The following is a 13656-nucleotide window of genomic DNA, read 5'->3' as shown; positions in this document are numbered from 1 at the left end:
TCCAGAATAGCTGAGACCATGGGCACACCCCCACTACCCCCAGCTAATTTTTTTTTTTTTTTTTGAGACAGAGTCTCGCTCTGTCTCCAGGCTGGAGTACCGTGGCATGATCTCGGCTCATTTTAACTTCTGCCTCCCAGGTTCAAGCGATTCTCCTGCCTCAGCCTCCTGAGTAGCTGGGACTACAGGCACGTGCCTCCATGCCCAGCTAAATTTTGTATTTTTTTTAGTAGAGACCATGTTGACCAGGATGGTCTCTCTTTTTTTTTTTTTTTTTTTTTTTGAGACAGAGTCTCACTCTGTCGCCCAGGCTGGAGTGCAGTGGTGCGATCTCGGCTCACTGCAAGCTCTGCCTCCCAGGTTCACGCCATTCTCCTGCCTCAGCCTCCCGAGTAGCTGGCACTACAGGCACCCACCACCACTCCCGGCTAATTTTTTGTTTTAGTAGAGACAGGGTTTCACCGTGTTAGCCAGGACGGTCTTTATCTTTTGACCTTGTGATCCACCCGCCTTGGCCTCCCAAAGTGCTGGGATTACAGGTGTGAGCCATGGTGCCCGGCCCTACACCCAGCTAAGTTTTAAATTTTTTGTAGAGGTGTAGTCTAGCCATGTTGCCCAGGCATTTCTGTCACCTCAGCCTTTTAAAGTGCTGAGATTATAGGCATGAGCCACTGTTCCTGTGGCCTTTTATTATTATTATTTTTTGAGACAGAGTCTTGCTCTGTTGCCCAGGCTAGAGTGCAGTGGTGCAATCTTGGCTCACTGCAACCTCTGCCTCCCAGGTTCAACCGATTCTGCCGCCTCAGTCTCCCAAGCAGCTGGGACTACAGGTGTGCACCACCACGCCCAGCTAACTTTTGTATTTTTAATAGAGACAGGGTTTCACCATATTGGCCAGGCTGGTCTCAAACTCCTGACCTCGTGGATCCACCCACCTCAGGTCCCAAAGTACTGGGATTACAGGCGTGAACCACCGTGCCCAGCCGGCCTGTTTTTTTTATTTTTTTGAGACAGGGTCTCACTTGATCACCCAGGCTGGAGTGCAGTGTTGTGATCATAGCTCACTGCCACCTCAAACTTCTGGGCTCACATGATCCTCCTGCCTCAGCCTCCTCAGTAGTTAGGACTACAAGTGCATGTCGCCACACCTGGCTAATTTTTAAATTTTTTGTAGAGACAGGGTCTCACTATGTTGGCCAGGCTGGTCTCAAACTCCTGGTCCCAAGTGATCTTCCTGCCTCAGTCTCCCAAAGTATTAGGATTACAGGTGTGAACCACCATGTCCAGCCTGCTGTTATTTTTATTATTCAGAAGTTTGGTGAGGAGTAAAGGAACTAGAGCAGTTTTGGAGTTCAGGACTCGTTTCTTTTGGATGGTGAACCAGGCTGAAGTTACTGGAATGAGGCAGAGGATAGGTGAGGACACAAGATCCAGGCATTAAGCACCGTCTCTCTGCTTGGTTCTACCTACTTCACTTCCCTCCTAGGGTCTTGAAAGGACTCAGAGACCTGAGTCTGTCACTAACTCCTTCTCCAATCCTACTCTAACTTGCTCCCCTTCACGCTTCTACCCTCCCCATCTGAGCACAAGGATTAGGCCCGTCTAGGTGACAGTCAGAGGACAGCACAGGGTTGCACAGACAACAGGTGATCTTGCCTTCTTCATGCCTGCATGCTCACCTGCCCTGCAAACTGGAGAGAAGAACCAATATCCACCGGTTCATCCTGTCCAAGCCCCACCAGACTCCATGAAGGCACATGGCCCTTTCATTTTTCTCTTTTTTTTTTTGTTTTTTTTTAGACAGAGTCTCGCTGTCACCCAGGCTGGAGTGCAGTGGTGTGATCTCGGTTCACTGCAACCTACATCTCCTGGGTTCAAGCGATTCTCCTGCCTCAGCCTCCCAAGTAGCTGGGATTACAGGCGCCTGCCACCATGTCCAGCTAATTTTTATATTTTCAGTAGAGACAGGGGTTTCACCTTTTTGGCCAGGCTGGTCTCGAACTCCTGACCTCAGGTGATCCACTGGCCTCAGCCTCCCAAAGTGCTGGGATTACAGGCATGAGCCACTGCACCCGGCCTGCACACGGCCCCTTCTCATCAGCGGGGGAAAAAGGAACATCTTCCACGAGCAAGAGCAGGGAATGAATCTCAGAAACAGGTTGTAAAAAAGGCTTATTTATTGAGAGCAGCGAGTGTAAAAACAAAAACAAAAACAAAAAAACAAAACAAACAAAAAACGACAACAATAAAAGTGTGGGGTAAGGATGGCCCACCCTCCTCATCTCCAGGGCCCACCCCTACCTCCCATGCCCACCCACCCCACGCTGCAATTACATATAAAAGCCGCCCGTGGTGCATACAAAAAGGGCGGTTTATATAGTGTCAAAAGCTCCTGAAAACTCCTTCATCTGCCAGGCACTTAGGATGAGGAAAGGAGAGAAGGGTGGGGAAGACGTGGGTCTGGGTCAGTGTGCACAAGCCCAGAGTGGGGAGGACTCACTTGCTGTGTCCTCTATAATCCTGGTCTAGACCCCCAAGTGGGACCAGTGGGCCAAGAGACTCATTAACCCTGTGTGCCCAGAACTTGAGAATATTAAGGAACTCCCCACAAACCCAGCTCATCCCAAGCCTAGCCCTCCCCAGGCAAAGTTGGCAGATGAGTGGCAGAGTTGGACCCGGTCAAGGGGAGAAGTTGAAGGCCAGAAATTGGGGTTACCTGTGGCACCCACACTGTCCCTGATAGAGGAAGAGGTGGCAGGGAAAACTGCCCAGCTCAAAGCCCTAGTCGCCCAGTTTGGGTCCAAGTCAGCCTCCCAAAGGATGAGGGTGAGGAAGAGGAGGAAAGGCCAGGCCCTGCTCAGACCTCAGCAATGCCTGTTGCACTAGGGCAGGGGCCTCAGGGCCCAGGAGGACAGGGATCTTGCCCATCATGCTGTGAGCTTCCCTCTAGAGATGTCCTCCCCTGCCCAGGCCATCCTGAGCGGGCTCCCTCCTCACGGCTTGCTGTCCACGGTGCTGTCTCCCAGGGCGCTGGCAATCTCACTGAAGGAGGGCCGGTCCTTGGGGCTGAGGGCCCAGCAGCGCTGCATCAGCCGATAGAGTTTGGAAGGGCAGCCCTCGGGCTGAGGAAGTCTAGCCTTCCCAGCCTGCAAATCTGTAGGGAAGACAGCAGGTGCAGTGTTGGCCAAAACATTCAACAACTTGTTCAACACTTTGTGGACCTTGCAGTTTATACAAGCAGCCACCCAAGGATGCCTCTGGGGCAATGCTGGCCAGCGGCAGGTGGGTACCCGCAACGGAAAAAGATGACTCCCCTGGCCCCACTCACTCTGGCTGGTAGGACGGGGTCCATGCATAGGAGCTGAAGTGGGCTGGCGGACAGGCGTCAGAGTGGCTGGAGTGGGCACTGGGGGCAAAGGCTATTTACCAACCAATATAGAAGTATTGCAGTATTTTCGGCCAGGTGTGGTGGCTCACGCCTGCAATCCCAGCACTTTGGGAGGCCGAGGCGGGTGGATCACAAGGTCAGGAGTTTGAGACCAGCCTGACCAACATGGTGAAGCCCCCCCATCTCTACTAAAAATACAAAAATTAGCCAGGGAGTGGAGGTGCGTGCCTGTAATCCCAGCTACTAGGGAGTCTAAGGCAGGAGAATCGCTTGAACCCAGGAGGCAGAAGTTGCAGTGAACGGAGATCGGGCCACTGCACTCCAGTCTGGGCGACAGGGCGACACTCCGTCTCAAAAGAAAAACAAAGTATTGCAGTATTTTAACAACCAGAGTGGTTGTATCTGTGTGCCTGCTCAGTAGCAGCCCTGAGAGGGAGGTAGGCTGAACCAGCCCTGGGGCCCTGAGTAGGCCCCATCTGGGGCCCATCTGGAATCATCCCCTAGCAGCAAGGCTGCCTACCTGCCAGTACTTCATCATCTGCCTGCCCACCATGGGGCATCTCTCCATGTGTAAACACTTCCCACATCAGCACACCGAAGGCCCAGACATCAGACTTGGTAGAGAAGTCACCCTCCAGGATGGCCTCGGGGGACATCCAGCGCAGCGGCACCCAGGCCTGGCGGAAGTGGTAGTACTCACTGCAGGAGAGAAGCAACCCAGGGGTGAGGTGGGGTGGGAGCGTGGCCTGGCGCTGCACCCTCATCTCCCCATCTGGAACGCATCCCCAAGCCGGGGGCCCAGCCTTTCTACATACAGACATCAAGAAATTGGTCACATGCGTGCTGAGCATGGGAGTACACTAGACAAAATCTGGAGGTAACCACACGAGAGGTTTGATGGTTAAAAAATTTCCATTAAGAATCAAACTTTGCCTAAATGTTAACAGAAAAGTTAATAGTCATACATACTTTCTATATTGGTTGTAAAAATGTAAAAACTAAGAACTGTTAAATGGAAAGAGCTTTATTAGTGATAAACCAATCCTCACTACAGCTATAGTCAGACAAATGGGGGTGACCTGGAACCAGAGGGACTCAGGGTGATGTTCCCGGCAGCGCTGCAGAGCCCTCGTAGGCTGTCTAGAGCAAGCTCTGGCATGGGTGCTGAGGCATAAGTCTCAGACTTCAAAATAATAATGACTGAATTCAGGAAGTTACAGAGAGAGCCATATAAATAGATTATATATAAATCCTTATCAAATTTGCCTATTTTTTAAAAAAGGTTTATTTATTTATTTAATCGCTAGAGACATTTTACAACCACCAAGGGTGTGCACTGGGTGGGAAGCCTGCTGCACCCTTGGAAAAAGGATGAGAAAGCTCTTCCCTATCCCAGGCCCTCCAGCTTTGGACTAAGCAGGCACTAAACCCTTTCCCACACCCCCCAAACTATCTGTCCTCTGCCCCTCACCCTCTGGGAAAAAATGGGGAGCCCCCACCCCACGCATGCCCTTCTACCTGTTGTACACATCCTTGCTGAGGCCCAGGGCAGACACCTTCACTTGTCTCTGGGCACTGACCAGGCAGTTACGCGCAGCCAAGTCCTTATGCACAAAGCGGTTGTTGGACAGGTGCTCCATGCCCAGGGCTACCTGGGTGCATAGGGCCACCTGGAGAGATAAAGGGGCCTGTTAGAGCAGCCCAGGAATAGGCATCAAGATGACCACCCTCAACACAACCCTTGGTAGCGTTTCAACACTATTGGTGTGCTGCGTAGGAAGCCCAGAAGCACAACAGCCTCAGCTTCCTTCTCTGTAAAATGGGGATAATAACAGTACCTGCCTTCCTGGGTTGTTAGAAGACTGAACTAAGCAAACTAAAGTGCCTGACACCATGCTGACACACAGCAAGTGCCAGATTAAGTGAGTGGCACATGGGCCTAAGGGCACATACATAGTAACCACTTGTCCAGTGAAAAATAAGTGGGCAGAAATCATAGCTGATATTTTTTATTTTCAAGTGACAGGGTCTTGCTCTGTCACCCAGGCTAGAGTGCAGTGACATGATCACAGCTCACTGCAGCCTCTAAACTCCTGGGCTCAAGCAATCCTCCCACCTCAGCCTTCCAAGTAGCTAGGACTATAGCTGTGCATCACCATGCCCAGCTTACTTTTTTTTTTTTTCTTTTGAGACGGAGTCTTGCTCTGTTGCCCAGGCTGGAGTGCAGTGGCATGATCTCGGCTCACTTCAAGCTCTGCCTCCCGGGTTCACGCCATTCTCCTGACTCAGCCTCCCGAGTAGCTGGGATTACAGGTGCCTGCCACTACGCCCAGCTAATTTTTTTGTATTTTTAGTAGAGACGAGGTTTCACCATGTTAGCCAGGATGGTCTCGATCTCCTGACCTTGTGATCCGCCCGCCTCGGCCTTCCAAAGTGCTGGGATTACAGGCATGAGCCACTGCGCCCAGCCCCCAGCTTACTTTTTAATTAAAAAAAAAAATTCTTTACCAAGGCAGGTGGATCACCTGAGATTGGGAGTTCGAGACCAGCCTGATCAACGTGGATAAACCCAGCACTACTAAAAATACAAAAATTAGCTGGGTGTGGTGGCACATGCCTATAATCCCAGCTACTGGGGAGGCTGAGGCAGAAGAATCGCTTGAACCCAGCAGGCGGAGGTTGTGGTGAGCCGAGATTGCGCCATTGCACTCCAGCCTGGGCAATAAGAGCAAAACTCCATCTCAAAAAATATATATATATATTTCTTTGGTAGAGACGGTGTCTAGCTACGTTGCCCAGGCTGGTCTCAAATATCTAACCTCAAGCGATCCTCCTGCCTTAGCTTCCCAAAGCACTGGGATTTCAGGTGAGTGGCACCATGCCTGATCTTAGATGATATCTTTATGGGTTGTTTCTTTTTCATTTTACTTCAAAAGTCTATCTTTTCTACTAGTTGTGTTAAAAATATGTGTGTGTATGCTGGGCATGGTGACTCATGCCTGTAATCCCAGCACTTTGGGAGGCTGAGGCAGGAGGACTGCTTAACCTCAGGAGTTTGTGACCAGTCTGGGCAACATAGTGAGACTCTATTAAAAAAAAAAAAAAAAAAAGAAAAAAAAAAATATATATATATATATATATATATATATATATATATATAGCGTGTGTGTCTGTGTGTGTGCACGCACGTGTGTGTATGTGTTAAGGCATATAGACCCATATGACTGGCTGCCTCCAAGGAACGGAACTGGAGGCTAGAAGGTAGAAAGGTAAGAAAACTTCTGGCTTACATTTTTTTGTGGGAAAAAAAAAAAAAAACCACAATCCAACAATGCTAGCACTCAAGAGTTCCTTCCCAACCATATGTTCTCCCTCCCCTCAAGGAGTAACCACTACCCTGACTTTTGTGATAATTTCTTTCTTGTTCTTTGTAGTTTACCACTTACATGTTCCTAGATAATATAATTCCATTTTGCCTGTTTCAGAGCCAGATTAAAACTGGAAGCACACAAAATGTATACTCTTTTGTGCCTGGATTTTTTTTTTTTTTCACAACATTGTAAGATTCTTTTGTTTGTTTGCTTGTTTTGAGACCAAGTCTCGCTCTTGTCACCCACGCTGGAGGGCAGTGGTGCGATCTCGGCTCACTGCAAACTCCACCCCGCTGGGTTCAAGTGATTCTCCTGCCTCAGCCTCCCAAGTAGCTGGGATTACAGGCGCGCACTACCACGCCTAGCTAATTTTTGTATTTTCAGTAGAGATGGGGTTTCATCATGTTGGCCAGGATGGTCTCGATCTCGTCCTCATGATCCACCCTCCTCAGCCTCCCAAGTGCTGGGATTACAGACATGAGCCACTGTGCCCGGCCTTTATTTTTTGAGATAGGGTCTCACTCTGTCACCCAGGCTGGAGTACAGTGATGGTGATCACGGTTCACTGCAGCCTCGCCCTCCTGGACTCAAGTGATCCTCCCAACTCAGCCTCCTGTGTAGCTGGGACAAAAATGTGTACCATCAATCCCAGCCTTTTTTATTTTTGTATTTTTTTGTAGAGACGGGGGTCTCCTTATGTTGCTCAGGCTGGTCTCAAACTCCTGGGATCAAGCAATCCTTCCATCTCTGCCTCCCAAACTGCTGGGATCACAGGTGTGAGCCACTGGGCCAGCCAGGTTAATTTTTTTAAATCACTGGACATGGTCTGTTTTTCATTATAAACATCTCATATTTTAATTCTTTTTTTTTTTTTTTTTTTTTTTTTTGAGACAGGGTATTGCTCTGTCACCCAGGCTGGAGTACAGTGGCATGACCTCAGCTCACTGCAACCTCTGCCTCCCAAGTTCCAGTGACTCTCGTGCCTCAGCCTCCCAAGCAGCTGGGATTACAGGTGCCCACCATGACACCCAGCTAATTTTTGTATTTTTAGTAGAGATGGGGTTTCACCACATTGGTCAGGCTGGTCTTGAATTCCTGACCTCAAGTGATCAGCCTGCCTCAGCCTCCCAAAGTGCTGGGATTACAGGCGTGAGCCACCACGCCTGGCCTCATACTTTAATTCTAATGCCAATGGGTTGTTTCCAGTTTGGGGCTATTAAGAACAGCGTTATTATGAACACTTTTATAAGTGTACACATGTATGAGTTTCTCTAAGATACCTAAGACGAAGTCTAGAATATGAATATCTCTAGCTATACAAAATAATGCCCAACTCTTTTCCAAAGTGAAAGAGTTGGGGAGATTTTTCATTCATTAATACTCTTTTTAGAATTTTGAGCCAATGTGAATATATTATATTATACACTATATATGAAACGTAACTAAATTACATTAACTTTTTTTTTTTTTGATGGAGTCTTGTTCTGTTGCCAGGCTGGAGTGCAGTGGCCTGATCTCGGCTCACTGCAACCTCCACTCCGCCTCCCGGGTTCAAGCGATTCTCCTGCCTCAACCTCCCGAGTAGCTGGGTTTACAGGCACATACCACCACGCCCAGCTAACTTTTGTATTTTTTCTAGTAGAAACGAAGTTTCACCATGTTGGCCAGGCTGGTCTCGAACCCCTAACCTCGTGATCCACCTGCCTCGGCTCCCAAAGCACTGGGATTACAGGCATGAGCCACCACACCCAGCCACATTAACATTTTAAAAGTATGTATTAATGCACTGAACAAATATAAATTGAAGCCAGGCACCTGTAGTCCCAGCTACTCAAGAGGGTGGGGTAGGAGAATTGCTTGAGCCCAGGAGTTCAAAGCCAGCCTGGGCAACATTGTGAGATCCTATCTCTTTAAAAAAAAAAAAATTTGAGTATCTACCACGTGCCATATACAGTGGATGTTGGTGGAATATAACAGGGCTGGCCAAAGCAGGGCTCTTGATGGGGGGCTGCAGCCAGGTTACTTGGTGCAAATAAGAAACCACCCATTCACAGAGAAGGGGAAGGGCCATTTGGTGAGCACCTGCTGTGTGCCACACCCCAAACAAGGCTGGTTGCCTCTCTCCACACATGCACTGTGAGGCAGGGCCCAGCCTTGGCTTCATTGAGGGGCCCATGGTGAGGCTAGTGCCAAAGGCTGGCTCTTCCCTACCACTGCAGCCGCCTCTCTGAATCACATCACTGCTGATGGACTGTCTGCCCACCAGTGGGCACAGAGGTTGGGCTGCTGGCTACTGAGCTGGCCCTTCAGCATCCCTGGCTAGCTCAGAGCAGCTTCCCCGCCTGGCTCCCAGAGGTCACAAGAAGGCCAGCAGAGGTGCCAAGCCCGAGCGCTAGGAGAGGGGACACTCCAAAGACATCTCTTCTCAGTTTTCTTGGGCAGTGGCCAGTGACATCCCTGTGAGCCCCACTGCCTCTACTGGTGCTTTGCTAACTATGGTCACAATCTCTATGTCATGAAACCAATTTAGGGAATCTTAGCCAGCATTAAAGAAAAAAAAAGGGAATAGAAAATAGAGTGCATCACACTTAGTAAGAGCATCATTCATGAAATGTTTTCATTTTAAAAATATATACATATGTGTGTATTGGGTTGTGATGCAAACTGTACTTTTTGCCCAGTCAAAAAGTTTTTTAAAAACAATGGTCTATATCTGTGCTGTCCTATACAGTAGGCACTATCCCCATGTGGCTATTTAAATTTAATTAAAACTTTTTTTTTTTTGAGACAGGGTGCCTGTTGCCCAGGCTGGAGTGCAGTGGTGCAATCACAGTTCACTGTATCTTCAACCTCCCAGGCTCAAGTGATCCTCCCACCTCAGCCTCCCTAGTAGTTGGGACTATTGGCATATACCACCATGCTAATTTTATTTATTTATTTATTTATTTATTTAGAGACTGAGTCTTGCTCTGTCACCCAGGCTGGAGTGCAGTGGCGCTATCTCGGCTCACTGCAACCTCTGCCTCCCGGGTTCCAGTGATCCTCCTGTATCAGCCTTCTATGTAGCTGGAATTACAGGTGCCCACCACCATGCACGGCTAATTTTTTTATTTTTAGTAGAAACGGGGTTTCACCATTTTGGCCAGGCTGGTCTTGAACTGCCATTAAGTGATCCACCTGCCTCGGCCTCCCAAAGTGCTGGATTACAGGCATGAGGCACCACGCCCAGCCTATTTTTATTTTTTAGAGACAGAGTCTCACTTTGTTGCCTAGGCTGGTCTCAAACTCCTGGCCCAAGCAATCCTTCCACCTTGGCCTCCCAAAGTGCTGCGATTACAGGTATGAGGCACTGCACCTGGCTTTAAGTTAATTAAAACTCAGTAACATTTAAAATTCAATTCTGTTTAGCGCAGTAGCTATTGCTGGCCTGTAATTCCAGCGGTTTAAGAAGCTGATGTGGGAGGATTGCTTGAGCCTAGGAGTTTGAGACCAGCCTGGGCAACATAGTGAGACCCCATTCTCTAAAGAACATTTAAAAATTAGCCAGGTGTGGTGGTGGGTGCCTGTAGTCTCAGCTACTTGGGAGGCTGAAGTGAGAGGATCACTTGAGCTCCACAGGTCGAGGCTGCAGTGAGCCATGATTGCACCACTGCATTCCAGCCTGGGTGACAGAATGAGACTCTGTCTCAAAAAATAAAATACAGGCCGGGTGTGGTGGCTCATGCCTGTAATCCCAGCACTTTGGGAGGCCAAGGCAGGCAGATCACAAGGTCAGGAGATCGAGACCATCCTGCCTAACGCACAGTGAAACCCTCTCTCTATTAAAAATACAAAAAAATTAGCCAGGCATGGTGGCGGGCGCCTGTAGTCCCAGCTACTCGGGAGGCTGAGGCAGGATAATGGCATGAACCTGGCAGGCAGAGCTTGCAGTGAGCCGAAATCATGCCACTGCACTCCAGCCTGGGTGACAGAGAGAGACTCCATCTCAAAATAAATAAATAAATAAATAAAATACATTAAATAAAACTCAGTCCGGGCGTGGTGGCTCACACTTGTAATCCCAGCACTTTGGGACGCCGAGGCAGGCGGATCACTTGAGGTCAGGAGTTCGAGACCAGCCTGGCCAATGTGGTGAAACCCCATCTCTACTAAAAATACAAAAATTAGCCAGGTGTGGTGGCACGCACCTGTAATCCCAGCTACTCAGGGGGCCGAGGCAGGAGAATCATTTGAACCTGGGAGGCGGAGGCTACAGTGAGCCGAGGTCCTGCCACTGCACTTCAGCCTGGTCGACAGGGTAAGACTCTGTCTCTAAAGAATACATAACATAACATAACATAACATAACATAACATAACATAACATAACATAACATAACATAAATAAAATAAAATTCAGTTCTTCTGTTGCTCTAGCCAAATTCCAAGTGTACAGTTGCTATATGAAGCTAGTGACAACTATATTGACCAGCACAGAAATGGAACATTCCCATCATCGTCCTGATCAGTGCTGCCTGAGGCTCTAACAGGCAGTGCATTAATGCAGAGGTGCTAAATGAATGATGTAATTAGAGTTGGGAAAAACCTCATCCAGACGGAGTCTCACTCTGTCGCCCAGGCGGGAGTGCAGTGGCAGTCTCAGCTCTCCGCAACCTCCGCCTCCCAAGTTCAAGCAATTCTTGTGCCTCAGCCTCCCAAGTAGCAGGACTACAGGCATGCGCCACCACGCCCGGCTAATTTTTGTATTTTTAGTAGAGACAGGGTTTCACCATGTTGGCCAGGCTGGTCTCAAACTGATGGTGAATGATCTGCCTGCCTCGGCCTCCCAAAGTGCTGGGATTACAGGCGTGAGCCACTGTGCCTGGCTGCTTTGGTACATTTCTTTATCAACAGTGAAGACATAAAATCTCAGGATAGCTTTCAACTAAATGTGTAACCAGTGAGGAAGGTTAAAGAAGAGGGCGGGTGGGCTGGGCGCAGTGGCTCACGTCTTTGAGCGGTGGCTCACTTTGGGAGGCCGAGGCGGGTGGATCACAAGGTCAGGAAATCGAGACCATCCTGGCTAACATGATGAAACCCCGTCTCTACTAAAAAAAATACAAAAAATTAGTCGGGCTTTGTGGTGGGTGCCTGTAGTCCCAGCTACTCGGGAGGTTCAGGCAGGTGAATGGCGTGAACCCGGGAGGCGGAGCTTGCAGTGAGCCGAGATCCCGCCACTGCACTCCAGCCTGGGCGACAGAGCGAGACTGCCTCAAATAAAAAAAAAGGCGGGGGGCGGGGGGGCTGGGCGCGGTGGCTCACGCCTGTAATCCCAGCACTTTGGGAGGCCGAGGCGGGCGGATCACGAGGTCAGGAGATTGTGTCCATCCTGGCCAACTTGGTCAAACCCCGTCTCCACTAAAAATACAAAAAAATTAGCCGGGCATGGTGGCGGGCGCCTGTAGTCCCAGCTACTCTACTCGGGAGGCTGAGGCAGGATAATGGCGTCAACCCGGGAGGCGGAGCTTGCAGTGAGCCGAGATCGCGCCACCACACTCCAGCCTGGCGACGGAGTGAGACTCCGTCTCCGAAAAAAAAAAAAAACAAAAAACAAACAAAAAAACGGGGCTTGGGCGCGGTGCCTCACGCCTGTAATCCCAGCACTTTGGGAGGCTGAGGCGGGCGGATCACGAGGACAGGAGATTGAGACCATCTTGGCTAACACGGTGAAACCCCACCTCTACTAAAAATACAAAAAAATTGGCCGGGCGTGGTAGTGGGCGCCTGTGGTCCCAGCTACTCGGGAGGCTGAGGCAGGAGAATGGCGTGAACCCGGGAGGCGGAGCTTGCAGTGAGCAGAGATCACTGCCACTGCACTCCAGCTTGGGCGACAGAGCGAGACTCGGTCTCAAGAAAAAAAAAAAAAAGAAGGCAGGTGGATGGCATGTCAGGATTACTGGGCCTCTCTTCTCTGGGTACAGGGAAGTACACTGGGGTTTCCATGAAAAAGCAGAGTCTGGCTGGGCACAGTGGCTCACACCTATATTCCCAGCACTCTGGGAGACCAAGGTGGGTGGATCACAAGGTCAGGAGTTCAAGACCAGCCTGGCCAATATGGTGAAACCTCATCCCTGCTAAAAATACAAAAATTAGTTGGGTGTGGTGGCGGGCTCCTGTAATCCCAGCTACTCGGGAGGCTAAGGCAGGAGAATCGCTTGAAGAGCGATCCCAGCTACTTGGGAGGCGGAGGCTGCAGTGAGCCGAGATGGTGCCACTGCAACCCAGCCTGAGTGACAGAGACAGAGCGAGACTCTGTCTCGGGAAAAAAAAAAAAAAAAAAAAAAAAAAAAAGCTGAGTCTACATCCCTAAAATAACCCCTGCAGCACCGTCCTCAGAATGCCTCAGGTGCACTGGTGGTAAAGGGGCCAGGCTGCTTCAGTGGCCATCATAAACAGAGCCAACTCCACTTCAGGCTTCAAAATCCCAGGGCATTGTCCAACCTTGCTTGATTCTCTGTAAGCGGCAGGCAAAGGTTTTGGTAACGTGCCCTCATCAGACTTGTGAGTCCCCTTGGCCTGCTCTCTCTGATCTGGCTCACAAGTTAAACAATCTGCTGCTAGTCAAGGTAAACAGAAGAAGGTGGACTTGGCATGGTAACTGACTTGCTATCTTTCCAGAGAGGTGGTGCTTCCGGAAAGCAAGGGCAGTAAAAGGGAATTCTGTTAGACTCAAGCCAATTCGGTGTTTCCTTTATGCTGGGCAAGATGCCATCAGATAGCCACTGGAGTAATTCTCAAATACTGTTATAAAAGACCCGTTCTTTGGTAAAGATCAGACCCACTCCTTCCTTTCCAATTTTAACACCCCAGGGGTTTGCCCATGTTCTGGCTAACCCACTGTGATGCTATGAGATCTCACA

At 49.5% G+C, this 13656-nt stretch overlaps 1 protein-coding gene across 10 annotated transcripts in view; it reads right to left on the bottom strand.

Moving 5' to 3' along the window:
• Positions 1 to 2159: 2159 nt before the first annotated feature.
• PTK7 (protein tyrosine kinase 7 (inactive)) overlaps positions 2160 to 13656 on the bottom strand; it is an 85402-nt gene continuing 73905 nt past the window's right edge. For 9 of the 10 annotated variants that reach the window (NR_072998.2, NR_072997.2, NM_002821.5 and 6 more), the window contains 3 exons: positions 4907 to 5058; positions 3909 to 4087; positions 2160 to 3154 (listed from right to left, as the gene is read on the bottom strand). Coding sequence is in view for 7 of the 10 variants with exons in the window: in NM_002821.5 (NP_002812.2) it covers positions 2994 to 3154; positions 3909 to 4087; positions 4907 to 5058 (492 nt within the window). In the remaining 3 variants the exon portion in view is untranslated. Of the gene's footprint in view, positions 3155 to 3908; positions 4088 to 4906; positions 5059 to 13656 lie in introns of those variants that run through there. The other variant, XM_047419157.1, reaches the window with a different exon arrangement.

The sequence above is a fragment of the Homo sapiens genome, chromosome 6, assembly GCF_000001405.40.
Source record: "Homo sapiens chromosome 6, GRCh38.p14 Primary Assembly".
Taxonomy (NCBI): Eukaryota; Metazoa; Chordata; class Mammalia; order Primates; family Hominidae; genus Homo; species Homo sapiens.
The sequence above is the reverse complement of the archived record's forward strand: the minus strand, read 5'-3'. Positions and strand labels throughout refer to the sequence as shown.